The sequence below is a fragment of the Homo sapiens genome, chromosome 8 (genome assembly GCF_000001405.40).
Source record: "Homo sapiens chromosome 8, GRCh38.p14 Primary Assembly".
Classification (NCBI taxonomy): Eukaryota; Metazoa; Chordata; class Mammalia; order Primates; family Hominidae; genus Homo; species Homo sapiens.
Genome location: NC_000008.11, coordinates 101,924,184 through 101,939,305, shown reverse-complemented (window position 1 = coordinate 101,939,305; position 15,122 = coordinate 101,924,184). Strand labels below are relative to the sequence as shown.

The window sequence follows — 15,122 nt, the reverse complement described above, 5'->3', positions numbered from 1 at the left end:
ATCTGTGAATTTCTCTAGCATTGAAAAAATAGAGCATTGAATAGAGGTAAAGTGCTGTCCATTGGTCACCAAAGCTGTGGGAAAGATCTTCATTCACTTGTACTAATTTATACTATCAGTGCAATTCCTATTTCCTATCCCTTCATTAATTTATTGGACATTTATTGAAAGACATCAAGGACTGTGGGTACTCATTGACTAAAGTAGAAGACTTTTTCTTTTGGCCTCAGGCTACAGCGATAAATCTTGCCTTTCCTAATAGTGAAAATGTGCTTTCTTCCTTTATATGGAAATTCCAATCAGATCCAAGCACTGATAGATCTCAGACTTAAGGTATTTAATAATGACATTTATTGCACATTATATTCCATCCTTTGAATGAATACACATGAGGCAAAAGTTAATTGTTTGATTTCCAAACGTGAATACAAGGAGGGCAAGCCCTTTGACAACACCAGACAGATGCTGGTGATCACTTTGCAATTATCAGGGATACATGGGGTCATGTCCCTGTGCTCAGTACAGGTTGAGGGTCTGACCTCAGCTTCAGGCTTGAGGATACACCATAGGTAATTATCATTATTAAAACATTTTCTTGGATGAAATTATTTGTTGCATCTTTCTATTGCCACTTACAAGTTTTTTTTTTTACCATTATTTCTTTGTTTGTTGCATTATTAAGAAATAATTAGAAATAATAAGACTGAGATTATCCTACCCATCCTGATGCTACAATTTTGATCTTGTCTTCGCATTATTATCCCGATATATGTGATCTGAAAACTGTAGCTGTTTATCTTGGAGAACAAGACTGTTACTAGACTCTGTAGAACATAATTGTTAAGAGCTCTGGCTCTGAGTCAGACTGTCTGGATTCACATCTCCATGGCTCCACTGAAGTACTATGTAACCGTGGAGGACTTCCAAACCTCTGAGCTATGGCTTCACTATCTCTTAAGTGGGCATAAGAGTGTATTCATAAGAGTATTATAAAGGTTAAATGCAATATAGCACATAAAATGAGTTTTTAAATATGTATATGTATCATATAAAATAAACAGTGGTGATTTATCATTACAACCAGAAGTCTAATGAGGCTAATATTATGTCAAAATGAGAAAATAATGGATTCTTGAAACAATTGCTTATTGAGTTCATTAAATTTTAGGATGGATTATTAAGCAGAAGGTTTATCGGAATTTTTGGAAAGAGAGAGAAGCAGTAGGGGCTCATAAAGAACAAGTCATGGCGCATCATGGTTAGAGCAGGAGCATGCACTAGACTTGGAGTCTGTGGATTTCAGAAACATCTTTCCTAAGTCTTTCATAGTAACCTATGGACAACTGAGAATTTGGGGCTAGTACGTGACTTGGAGACCATAGCTTTCAGTTATCTTTCTCAATATTCTCCAGGACAACATTCTGTTTGTTTTCCTTTATCACATACCACTAATCTAATTATTTGGCTGATTCATTTGTTTATTTATTGACTGTCTCCCTACAAGAGTGTAAGCTCCATGAGGGCAGAAACCATGCCTGTCTTGATCACATTTGCATCCCATGACTTCATACAGGACCTAGCCCATCGCCAGCAATCCTCAAATATTTGTGGAATGAATAAGAAATGAGAAAATTCTTGGCTGGTCAAAAGGTGTGACCCTGTGAATTTCATTGCAGCACCATTCACAATAACAAAGAAATGGAAATGAACTATATGCCCATCAATGACAGATTGGATACAGAAAATGTGATACACCATGGGATACTATGCAGCCACAAAAAAGAACAAGGTCATGTTTTTTGCAGGAACATGGATGGACCTGGAGGCCATTATCCTTAGCAAACTAATGCAGTAACAGAAAAACAAATGCCACATTTTTACTTATAAGTGGAGCTGAATTATGATAACTCATGAACACAAGGAAAGGAACAACAGACACTGGGTTCTACTTGAGGGTGGAGGGTGGGAGGAGGGAGAGGAGCAGAAAAAATAACTATTGGCTACTGGGCTTAGTACCTGGGTGATGAAATAATCTATACAACAAACCCCCATGACATGAGTTTACCTATATAACAAACCTTCACATGTTACCCCCGAACCTAAAATAAAAGTTAAAAAAGAGATGTGACCCCAAGAGCACTGGATCCCTAGAATGATGTCTGTTTTAAAGCATCACTTCTTTGTTAGGTTCTTCTTGGTTAGGATCATTTAATGGTTTATTCATTCACAAGAAAACATAGAAAGCTTGCTAGTCATCTCTGTGATTGCCAGAAGTTGGAAGATGTAGCAAATATTATGAAACAAAATTTAAAATTATCTCAATAAGCCAAACTTTAAGTCAGTAAGATTGAAGGAATTAAGAGGAAAAAATTAAATGCCTATGTTTATTAGATTTTTAAAACTCAGTTTCCCAGATAGGATACAAGAGACAAGGTCCTGCAGGAGGTCATGTGGAAGAGAGTTGGGTTTTAACTGGCCACACAATATTCTGAGCTTAAAACACTATATCGTGGTAGATTTTTAAACATGAACCTACCCTAGACCAGCGGTTCTCAACCTTGGCTGCATATTAGAATCTCCCAGAGCACTGGTAAACAAACAAACAAGCAAATAAAAACATACTAATGTCCAGACCTCACCATCAGAGATTTTGACTCAGTTTGTTTTGGGAAGGATCTGAATATTCTAATATATTAGCAAATCTAATAGGGTTAAGAACCTCTACCCTGACTTTGCTCTTACCAATAACTACATACCTTCTATAATCTGTTGCTAGCATTCTACTTTCTGATTATTACCTTCTATATTTCTAAATAACTCCACTGCAACATTTTTTGCCTTCTAGGACCTCTGATCCATTGACTTTGCCACCTCTTGGCTGTTTCTCCCTTCATTTCCCCATTTCTCTTCATGGTTCCATTCTAGTAGTCACTGCTTTGCATATGCCTTCAGTACCTCGCCTCCTCACCTGACAAGTCCTAACCATGATTATTAAATCTAAGAGAGACTGAATGTGGTTGGAGAAGAATATGCAAACTTGCTGATTGGTCTTACTGAAAATTCATGACTGCAAATGTCAGGTAGAAAATGCCATGTTAGAATCCTACTAAATCTCCTTAGTCAATTTACTCTCATTCTTATAGATAATTGTTGCACCCTTCTTCTCTACCAAACCTCAAACCAACCCCCTCCTCACTCTCAGCTGATGGCCTTGCCTCCCTCATGGAGATGAGGCAATCAAAGAACTTCCACAGATTCCTGCTACAAAATCTATTCACCTCCCTGCATCTGGACCTGTGCACTCTTCACTCCTATTAACTAGGATGAATCATCCCTGCTCTTACTAAAGCCAGCACTAATCGTGTGCTCCGCATCTCATCTGTTCTCTTACTTAGGACTTGGCTTCTGCAATTGGCTGCCAATCACCACTGCTTCATTGATTTTCCTGTCTTCCCTGCATCATTTCCATCATCTTACATAGTATAATGTCTTCCATCTTTAAAAAAAAAAAAAAAAAAAAAAGAATCTCTTGATCCTCTAAGCTATAGCTTAATTTCCTTATTCCCCTTAATGGCAAAAGAGTTGTCCAGACTCATCATATCCACTTCCTCTCCCCACTTTCTCTCTGCAACCCACTCCACTCAGAATTACCTCCCCACTGCTCCACCAAAGACTTTGTCAAGGCCCCCAGTGACCTTGACATTACCAAACTCCAATGATCAGTTCTTAGATCTCATCCTGCTGAACTTTTCAACAGCTTTGGACATCACGGATTACTCCCTTTTTGTTCTTTATTTGCCTTTACCATTTTAACCATTTGCTTTCTGTTGTAAACTGTAAACTCTTTAGTTATAGGATAGAGCCATCAAAATCTTATCTGGCTGCTTCATTTTATAAAAAGAATATTTTAACATCTTACTTAAACTCAACTTTCATTTTCATGTCTATTGCTATCAAATTTCCTTATGATGTAAATAAAATCTTATCCTTTAGGTCAGTGCTTAGGAATTGTTTGGAAAATTCGGGATTAACTGTGGAAACCAGGTTTTTGGAGTACCTATTCCCCTGTCTCCTACTTCATCATTATATATTAATCGTCTGAAATTTCTCACCTATATTTTTTTTTTGCCTTGTAATTTTCACATTTTCTCTTATTAATTTTGCCTTTTTGATGTAGAGGCTACTCCTTCGTCTTAAATTTTTCTGACTATTCCCACTTCTTTCTCTAGCGCATCTGCTTTCAGATGTCTTTAATTCTTCTTGTGATCTTTAATTTGAGACTTCTTTGACAAGTTTTTTATATATAGTCTCCTACTTTTACAATGTTTTTCTTCTTCCCAGCCAGCTTACCCCACTGTTCTTTGGTGATATTTTCACTTATTTTAGTTTTGCCTAAGTCTGAGGAGGATGGCCCAAGTTGATTCTTATATTCTCTTTGTGTATTTAAATCTTATCTCTTCTTTTTAGTGGCAGCTTGTAAAACCTATTTTTGTCTTTAAAGTTTAAAAACCTGACAAGTAGGCATGGTTCTTATTTCCTTCTCAACCAAGGTACTTGAAAGTGCAGCACGCTGCCTCCACTTCTTCACTTCCATTTCGTTCTAGGTTTTTTGCAATCTGTTTTTTTTTCCTGTCATATCTAATAAAACTGCTCTCAGGAAATTCACTCATGGCTTTCTTTCTATTGTCCCTTTCAGTACTTGTCTTACTGAACTCCCTCCTTCCTGAAGCTCCCGACTCTTAGATTCCATGATGCCATTTTCTCTAGACTTTCCTCTTTTTCTTTCTGGACTAATTTATGGGTCTCTTTTCTTCTGCTTGTTCTTTAACCCTTACTCTCCTCCAGGGCTCTGTTTTTATTTCTCCATTCTTCTCACTATGCCTAATCTTCTTGCGGGAGCTTATCCACTCACTAGCCCCTCTGACTTTGTGCTATTTCGTGTACCTGGAATTCTTCCCTTTCTTGCTCTCCCCACTCATTTTTCAAAACCCATTTAGCTATTACTCCCTCCAGGAAGGTTTTCTTCAGTCCTTAGGTTGGACTGTCTCCTCTGTTTGCCCCTTGAGTACACTGGTTGACACCATTGTCATATCACACATTATGTGGTAATAAAAATTATCTGCAGTCTTCTTAAGGACAGAAACCATGACTATTTTTGTATCCCTGCACCTAGTACAGAACTCAAGAGGTTGTTTTTGAGGCTTGCTTTCCTCTGAATGATATGTAATCCTCTTCATCATCTAACTGAGATTGTATTTCAGCTCAAGAAAAAGTTTTAAAAATTATGCTCTGGATCACACTTTCTGTAGTATCTCTGATATACATGTCATTTGCATATCAAATCCCCTTGATCTGCTTCCTAGTCCTATCCAAGCCACTATCATATATTTATGAAGTCTCTCTGTGGGTTAACTTCAACCATCACTTACGTGCTAATGATTCCAAAATCCTTTTCTGTAGCCCCTACCACTGTCCTGAACTCCAGATTATTCCTGCACATCCTATCCCATTGCTTGCAATCATTTCTTGTCCTCATGGCACAGAGATTCTGCTGCCTTGAGGCCTCCAACCCCCAAGACAGGTCCTTTAGGATCGATGAGGACTGGGTACTCCCAAATCCCTCATTTGAATATAATGTGTAGGTTGTCAGGGAAGAGCAAAGTTGGGTGGAGGTGAGGTCAGCATGGAAAGGCAGTTGCAGGATGAGAGGTAGTTGTATCAGTTTCCTATTGCTGCTGTAACAAATCACCACAAACTTAGAGGCTTCAAACAGCACAGACTTATTCTCTTGCAGTTCTGGAGGTCAAAAGTCTGAAATCAGTCTTACTGGGCTAAAATGAAGGTGGCAGGGCTGGTTTCTTCTGGAGGCTCTCAAGGGAGAATTCATTTCCTGGCCTTTGTCAGCTTCTAGAGGCTGCTGGCATGCCTCAGCTCCTGGCTGCATCCTGCCAATCTCCGCTTCCATCATCCCAGTGCTTTCTCCCCTGACTCTGATGGCTCCTGACTCGGGAACATTGTGATTACAGTGGGTGCTTTCAGATAATCTCTCCATCTCAAGATCCTTAACTTAATCACATCTGCAATGTCCCTTTTCTCCTACAAGGTAACATTGACAGATTCTGGGGACTAGGACATGGACATATTTGAAAGGCCATTATTCAGCCTACAACAGCGATCCTAGGTTAGGGTAGACCATGATCCTAGGTCAGGGTAGAAACACAAGCAAACTACTTTTAGCAAAAGGAGATCCAGAATATTTGATTTTTAGCAGGTATGTGTATATGTGCATATGTGTGCATCCGGGAAGAAAAATTGTTGCTATCAATGCTATTTCTAGGTAATAGAAAACAAACAATGTGAAGGGGAAAAATTCTAAATTTTGTGTGTGTGTGTAAAAGTAATAAACTTTAAAGTCATTTATCTGAACTGCCTATAATTTATATATACTTGACAGCAAAATAATATTCTCTAGCTAACTAACTTGTTAGATTGTTGTCATTTAAGTTTGTTTTATTACAGTGTGCTCAGGAGTCTTTTCCCCACCTTAACAAAGCAGGGGGCTTTGTTCAGTGCTCAGTACCTCTAATGAGCTCTCCTTTTAATGGAGATGTGAGGCAGCTGGGTTTAAGGACTCTGCGCAAAGGAAGAGAAGAATGATTAGACCTTGCTTCTTTCTTTTTTTTCTCTCGTGTACTCTTGTATTCTTTTCTTTAAAGAAAGCTGTGGTTAAGGGAAATAATTGGCTAAGGGAAAAAAATGGAAAGAAAGTCCTTCATTTGCACAGCTTGCCTTGGCCATATAAAAGACACACACCCTGAAGCAGAAGTGCTGCTGAAACAGGCAGGGGGAATGGAAAGGGTTATTGGGAGATGGCTTAGTTTGGTTTCCCCAGGAAGCAGATTTTTAATAATGAATTTGGGTAGGCGAATGGGGATGTGATTATTTTGGGGGACATGCAGAATGTCTCCCAGAGTTGTATCTGGGGGTTAGGAGGTGGGTATTTATCCATCAGTTACCACTCAGCATTGGCTGAGGACTGTCCTCAGGGGCTTTACTCCTCTGCTGCCTGGCTGCATCTGTGGACTGCAAGTCCCTGTGGCAGGGGAGGGGGCCTGGAGGCTGAAAGACAGAACATGCCCTGGACACAACTGGCAGAGCACTGTCAGCCCTAGAGAAGCCTGCACTCACCTCGATCTGCCTTCCAACTGCCACTGAAAACAGAGGGGTAGGTGGGATGTAGCTTAGGGAGCTCAAGGTGAGGGCTACAGAAGAATCCCTTCTCTAATGGTAGGTAGTGTGGCAATGATGGGCTGTGATGGCCACCTGCTTCTGAAGGGAAAGATGACAAGTGCTCCTAAGGGCCTGGGCTATGAGTAAGACAGATATGGGCTCCTAAGGGCCTGGGCTATGAGTGAGACACCCCATTAATACATTTGCTCCCTAGCCAAGCCTCTGTTTTTCCATATGTAAAATGAGAACAACAGCATCTCCTTTTTAGGACTGCTTTGTGAAATAAAAGAGATAATGTGTATAGAGTGCTTTGCAGGGCCACTGGGACAGGACTACACCCATACATGAGAGTAGTTGTGTTAAAAGGAAAATGAAAAGGACAGCAAAAGCAAAACAAACCAAAACCAAACCCAAACAAACAAAGAAAATACGAGAAAGGAAAAGAAACAGGAAAAAAAAAAGGAAGGTGATTGACACTTGAGACATCTGTTATAGGAAATATGTCGCCTGTGTTCATATTTCTTTCTAAATGATGTCTGCAACTATTTCAGGGCTCAGGACATGGAGTCATGCACACGTTTTACTTGAGTGTCCAGTCCAGGCTTCTTTCTGCTCTGCCAACTCTGTGTCCTTGGTATTGCCTTGGTAGAATTTGTGGCATCAGATACACAGTATATCTGATGTTGTTAACAGGGTTATTTTAGGGCCACCAGTATGTCCTCACCAGCCTTGTGAAAAAGGCCAGACATTTGTCTATTGGAGGAGCCTTGGTTTCTTGCTCAAATGAATGATAAGTGAACTGCCTCAGATCATTAACCATGTTCTTTTGTAAAGTCCAAATCACCATTTGGCAGCAAATGGCTTTTTCACCTGGGGTGGATGTTTGCTTGTTCCCTGCTTCTTGGAACCCAGATAATGAGTACTTAATTCACTATAGGCTTGGTGACCCCAAGGCCCATAAAGAAAGTCAATGGAGTGGTCCACGCTGGCGGACATCAGGCTTAGTGACACCAGGGACAGTGGTGCTGGTGACACAGCTTTCGCCTCTGCTTATATGGTACTGATAAGGAGCTTCTAGTTCAGAAAGCAGAATCACTAGCAAACCCCTCCAAAAAAGGAATTGTATAAGCCTTGCCATAGAAACAAATAACAACTCACAGACTAGCAATGCCACAACTTCCCTGGAATAGAAAAGGTCAAGGTAATGACCCAGGCACTTGATGTGCTGGCTGCAGAGGAACACACTCCCCCACAACTTTCACACACTCACTTCATGCTGGCAAAGGATTGGTTTGAATGCTGCTATCTGGATTGCTATCTCTGGGAAGTATTTTAGAGCCAAGACCCCATACAATTCCAGTGGGATGAATGTTGCTTACTCATTCTGCTGCAGTTTCCATTGTGTGCGCTCTGTGTTGATGGGTTGTGTGGAACAGGAGATGTGAGCTCTCCTAATTTATTAAACTGGGAGCATAGGCCTTCTCCTGCTTGCCATTTAGGGTGACGAGGGAGGAAGAGGACCCTGTGGTCAAGGAGCTGGAGGAGGGAAAAGTGCTGCGCCGGAGGCACTGTGAGCTCAGGAGCTCAAGGCACCCTGGCATTGAGCTCACATAGCCACATTTTTATAAAATTTTCAAAATAAAGAGATTTTGCCTATGATTGGTTAAGATCATTGTCTCTTCCTGTAGGACTTACCCTTACCCTCTGTAGCATTGATCAGCAGGGAGATGGCGTTGGAGTAGCCAGAGGCATTTTGGGAATCAGACTAAAGGGAAGCTGAATTGGGGATACATTTTGTTTGGGTTTAATGAGATATATTTATGTAATTTACAGTCACTTCCATGTATACATGCATCTGGTAGTTAATAAAAATATGTTATTTTTCTGGATTATTGTGATGCTAAGCTATTCTTTAGTTTTTAAAATTTATAATTTTTGTAATTTTCTCATTTTAAAAAATACTCATATTTGTATCTAATTTTGTAAGCATAATTTTTATATATTTTTGTTTTTTATTTTTTGAGATGGAGTCTCACTCTGTCACCCAGGCTGGAGTGCAGTGGTGTGATCTTGGCTCACTGTAACCTCCATCTCCCAGGCTCAAGTGATTCTTCTGCCTCAGCCTCCTGAGCAGTTGGGATTACAGGCACCCATCACCACACTGGGCGATGTGGTTGTATTTTTGTATTTTTAGTAGAGATGGGGTTTTACCATGTTGGTCAGGCTGGTCTCGAACACCTGACCTCAAGTGATCTGCCTGCCTAGGCCTCCCAAAGTACTGGAATTACAGGCCATAATTTGTATTTTTAATAAAGAGGTCTGTATTTGTATAAGCTCAGACCCCACAAACCTGGATCTGCCCTCTCATCCCCCTCCCTCCCTGCCTCCTTCCCTCCCTCCCTCCTTCCTTTCCTTCCTTCCTCCCTCCCTCCCTGCCTCCTTCCTTCCCTCCCTCCTTTCCTTCCTTCCTCCCTCCCTCCCTGCCTCCTTCCTTCCCTCCCTCCTTCCCTTCCTTCCTCCCTCCCCCCTCCCCTTTCCTTTCCCTCCCTCCCTCCCCCCTCCCTCCTTCCCTTCCCTTTCCTTTCCCTCCCTCCCTTCCTTCCTTCTTTTCTTCCTTCCTCCCTCCCTCCCTCCTTTCCTTCCTTCCTTCCTCCCTCCCTTCCTCCCTCCCTCCCTCCATGCCTCCCTCCCTCCTCCCTTCCCTCCTCCCTTCCATTCCCTTTCCTTCCTCCCTCCCTTCCTTCCTTGCTTGCTTCCTTCCTTCCTTCCTTTCTTCCTCCCTCCCTCCCTCCCTCCCTCCCTCCATCCCTTCCTCCATCCCTTCCTCCTCCTCCTCCTCCTCCTCCTTCTTCCCCTTCTTTAGGGGCTAGAACTTTGCAATATTCACCTGGGTTCTTGATTTCTTGCTCCTGTTCACATTCTCAGAATCGAGGGGAAAACATTTTATGTATATGATGGATTAAATAAGATTTTACAGAATGATTTGACAGCCCGACTATCACATAATATGGGAATACCCACAAAAGAGTGTGTCCTGAGTTCTGAGCTGCCCACTTGGAAGGCCTTCTGGATAACACTGTCTCTACCTGATCTGGCCTCCCCTCACCATTCAGGCTCACCCCTCGCCTCCCCTGACACCCTGCACGCCTCCCTTTCAAGTCAGTCCTCCCAGTACACAATATATTTTACAGCACAGTGTTTTTGTATCTAATACTGTTGACTCAGCTTCTCTTTATTCATCTTTCACTACAAATGCTAATAAATGCAAAATGCTAAATCATCAGGTTTCTCAATCTAAACTAAAGAACAACTAGAGCATTAACGTTTAGAGAAAAGTTGCAAGAGGCAACCACACTGAAAGTTGTAAGAAGTCCTGAAAATGAATAAACAGGAGATCAATAAAGGAAAAAACTCCTGAAAGTTAATGAAGAGAAAGGAAAAAAATAAAACACAGAAAACTTAAAAAAAAAAAAAAGTGTCCATAGCCTGAGCCCATTTGATTTAGAGGCGAGCAGGTATTTGCACTTCAGAGTACCTGAGGGCAGCATCATGGAATCTCTGATGTTCATAATGGTTAATGTGTGGAGTTGGTATATAAAAGGCAAAAAGTTGAAAAATTATCATCCAAAGAGGTGTATGTTTTAAAGGTTTCATTTTAACAGGATCTCTGTGGTCCAAGAGGCTTACTTCTGTAGCATACATTATTTTTGAGTAATATTAGTCAAACAAGATGGTATTGTACTAAATGGAATTAGGGGAAAGTACAGCATAATAGTTAAGACTAAATATGGAGTGGGACAAGCCTGGCCATAAATCCTAGTTCTTCTACCGGGTTAGCTGTGGGAACTTTTCAAGCTTCATTTTCCTAGAAGATGAGCATCATAATCTCTACATCGCGCGATCATTGAGAGATTGGACAATCTTAATTAGTTATTTAATTAAGTTCTGTTAAGGATTTATAATACAGTTGCTGTGTGAGGCTTTTTTGCAGGATCATTTTTCAGTTAGTTCCCAGCTTGTCATTCAAATTGCAGTCCTGACAGATTTCCAATGTTGCAAGAGTTTAGCACTTCATCAGTCATTTAGGCATTAAATAGACATGAAAATATTTGTTAAAATATTTTCTCTTCTGTTATTTTTAGGTTTTTTAAAAATATGTTTTCCCTGAGAGTAATAGGAGAACAGGTTGCACTGAGAATGAAATCCACATTCCACCCAGGCCCTGACTTTGGCTTGGGTTTGGGCTCTCCCCTGTGGTCTGAGCAGCTGAAGTCTGGGATTGGATGCCCCACCAAAGCCACACGGAGCTGGGAGGACACTTCCACAAGGACAGGACACTGGGTAGACACAACTGCCTGAATTTCATAGACCCATTGGAAGGAGCTCCTTGCAATCTTCTCTAGCCTAATTTTTCCACTTCTTGCCTCAGTGGGCCTCATCTCATGCCACTTTCTTCTGTACCCACTGCGCGGATGTCGGACCGTGCCACACCCTTTCCCATCTCTGGGCCTTTGCACGGGCTGTTCCCTCTGCTTAGATTGCTCTTCCCTGACTCTTGGCGAGGTTGGCTCCTCCTTACCCTTCACTCCTGCACTTAGCAGATCCTTGCTCAGACACCTTCATCACACGCAGACCCTTCTCTGCTACGCTGCATCTCAGGTCTGACTTCTCTGCTGCAGCTCCCTGACAACAGTGCAGGCTTGTTGTATGGATATGTTTGTTTACTTGTATTCCATCCGTCCCCCCATCTAGACTGTACGCTCCACCAGATCGGGGACTTTGCTCTTCTGTTGGTGGGACACTCCTGGTGCCTGGCACAGAGGCTGACACATTCAGGCCCTGAGATGTTTTCTGAATGACTGATAATGAATGAATAATAAACTGGTGAAGAGGTAAAATGAGGTGGGAGGAGGTGTGAGGGTGGGTGATGGAGGATGGCAAGGTGAGGATCATGCTAGTGGGTAAATAAACTTGCTGGGATCTGGTCCCTGGTGGGAAGTGACTGCAAACCAGCAATACTCAGAGTGAAGGAGGAAGCCACGGGAGAACAGGGCCAGTGTCTGTTAATTGAAGAGAGACTCTGGGGCCACTTGTTTCAGGCATCTGTTTTAGCTCTTCTCAATAGGACAGTGATGTTCTAATTTCTTTGTATGGTATAGGAACAAAAAATAATAACCCATAACACAATTCAGAACATGAGAAAAGCATTCCTGGAAAGTGGCCACAGAAACTACTGCCACTTCCCTTAACGCCACTTATTCCCTAGGGAGACCCACCACCTCCTTATCCCTAACCCTAACCCTACCTGGCCATGATACAAGTGGCATTTCTAGTTGTTTATGACATGCTAACACTTGTGTTTCCCAGGGGTTCAGTGAGCCTAAGTGGGGAGAAGAGTGGGGGGAAATTGTTAAGACTGTGGTCTTTGAAGCTGAGTGCTGGCTCTGCCACCTGGTAGATCGTCAGCTTGGACATATTATTTAACTTATTTAAGTTAAGTTAAAGAGGTTAAATTTTTAGACTTATTTAAAACGGAAATAGTCACTAATAGAGATGGTTCTGAAGATTAAATTGGATAACTCATATAAAGAGCTTAGCTCAGTACCTGTACATGGTTAGTGTCAAATAAAAATTTATTCCTGAGTCCTTCCAAGCCACAATTATCTTCTAATCAGCCCCTGTGGTTGTAGAAAGCTTAGCATGTAATCAACAGAAATAAACTGAGACTACTGGAGCCAGAAAAGAAAAGTTTATTGGAAGGCTATTAATAGCTTAAAGAACTGAGGGAAGAGCTGACCAAACAGGCCTCGGGAAAGTTGAGAACCAAGGGAACTGGGGGGTCCCAGAAGCAGGAATTCATGAGCCATCTTTCCAAGGTCCTGCCGCTGCTGATGGCTCTGCTGCTGGTGTTCTTGTTCTTGTTGGCTGCAGATTTAAATGCCCAGGAGGGAGAATCAGACAGACTGCAGTGGGCTGGGGCTCTCCCCTGTGGTCAGAGGAGTTGAAGTCTGGGATTGGTTGCCCCACCAAAGCCACATGGAGCTGGGAAGACAGTTCCACAAGGACGGGACACCGGGTAGACACAACTGCCTGGATTCCATAGACCCATTGCAGGGGACTCCTGAGGACCTGCCCAGTGAACGTCTCTTGCCTGATTTTTCAGCTTCTTACTTATCAACATTTAATTGCCTTTAATCATAGCCCACCATCATTTCCTCCTGTCTTTCCAGACAATCAATCATTCCTTCTTTTGAATGATGTCTATAATGTTGATTCACTCATGCATTCATTTAGTCAAATGCTGTGTGAAGCTTCTTTTATAGGAACATATTTATTACATATTTATTGAGCACCTATTAGGTATGGGGTTCTGTTCTAGGGGCTGGTTTAGCTCAATGACTCAAAGAAATCCCATGCCCTCAAGGACATCATTGGCACCATTGCCACTTGATGTTATATATGTATTTAACATATAAATAATGTGTCTGTGAGACAGCCATAAATAAATAAATAAATACATAACCCGAAGTGGCAATGGTGCTAATGAGCCAAGTGCTAATGAGAGGGGGAATGAGTGTAGAATGTGAGGGGGTATTGCTCACACTGGTTATTCATGTTTATATGTGTCTATCCTTCAACTGATCCCGTTTTATTACTATATTTTTACTTGTCTGCCATAAATCACTAGCTGGCTTCTGCCTTCTGAAGTGAGCACCTTAAAGTACCCTACCCCTGCCTCTTGGTGGATGCTGAATAAATGTTTGTTCAATGAATGGATAAATACACCCCTTATAGTCTGGCTGTCAGATGTCTGTATTTTTCTGCATGTGAGGCACCCAGCCACTCTTCCAAGGGGAGCATCGCAGGTGACATGGACAGAAGGGAGAATTATGCCTGGCTCTGCCCTCTTGGATACTCTATAATGTTTTTGGCTGGCTGATTGACTTAACCCTCATTTAGCCAATCTCTCTTCTCTGGAATGAGGTTGGTTTCTTTGTGTTATTTTTTTTTCTTTTGTCATACATGCTTTCTGAATTTAAAACCAACTCTGAGATATAAATGAGGAAAATATTCATCCCTCACAACTGAAGTCACAGAATCAACATCGGAATGAATCACAGCATCTGAAGGAACCTCAGGAGAACGGCAATAACAAAGGTCCTTTAAGGGAAGCCTGAATCCTCTTAAATCTATATTTAATGTCTATGTTTATGAAAATGGAAAGAACTAGATGAATCCTTATTTAAAGACTCAATCTAAAAGTAGACAACAAGACAATGGAATGCTTTAAAATATTTTTTCGACATTTGTGTAAAATGGAGCAGTGTGGATTGCATGCTGTTCAGACATGGCCTCCATCTTAGCAAGATCTCTGGTTTTTCACTGCAGACCAACAAATGACGGCCATTGACACAGCTCTCTGGTCCCGATGGTAGCTGTGTTTATAAATGGTCAGCTGTGTTGTGTGTATATTTAGCTTATGCTAAGTGCCCCTGAGAGGATGAATATGATCTGTTTCCAGTTTAGTTATGATTTGGAACATGGTAGATTTTTTCCAGATGAATATATACTAAGCCTTTTCCACTTCCTGAGGAAAGTTAGGGTTGGATTCTGAACTGCAAATTGCCAAACTTGTTAAATCGAATTAAAACCAAATGTAAAGTGCTGTTGACTCTATTTACAAGCACTTGTCGGAATATACTGTGCCGCTCAATGAAAATGCCATGTTTTGAGTGAAAGATTAGATACCAGTGCTGACAGACCAGAAACCATTTCATTCACCATTAGCGTGAATGGATGATATGGCTGACTGATAGGATGGTTAGAAATAATGGCTAAATGGTATTGGTGACTATATAGTATCTTTATATAATATTAAAACTTTTCAAAGC

At 41.4% G+C, this 15,122-nt stretch overlaps 1 protein-coding gene across 17 annotated transcripts in view, besides 1 other annotated feature; it reads left to right on the top strand.

The window, feature by feature from the left end:
• NCALD (neurocalcin delta) overlaps positions 1-15,122 on the top strand; it is a 438,366-nt gene that overhangs the window by 185,602 nt on the left and 237,642 nt on the right. The window lies entirely within an intron of this gene.
• Positions 2,986-3,487: an enhancer, noted in NCBI's record as "NANOG hESC enhancer chr8:102948047-102948548 (GRCh37/hg19 assembly coordinates)". NCBI's record gives its function as "activates a minimal SCP1, AML or CMV promoter by ChIP-STARR-seq in naive H9 embryonic stem cells {active_cell/tissue: H9 hESC(naive)}" and the evidence as "EXISTENCE:reporter gene assay evidence [ECO:0000049][PMID:30033119]".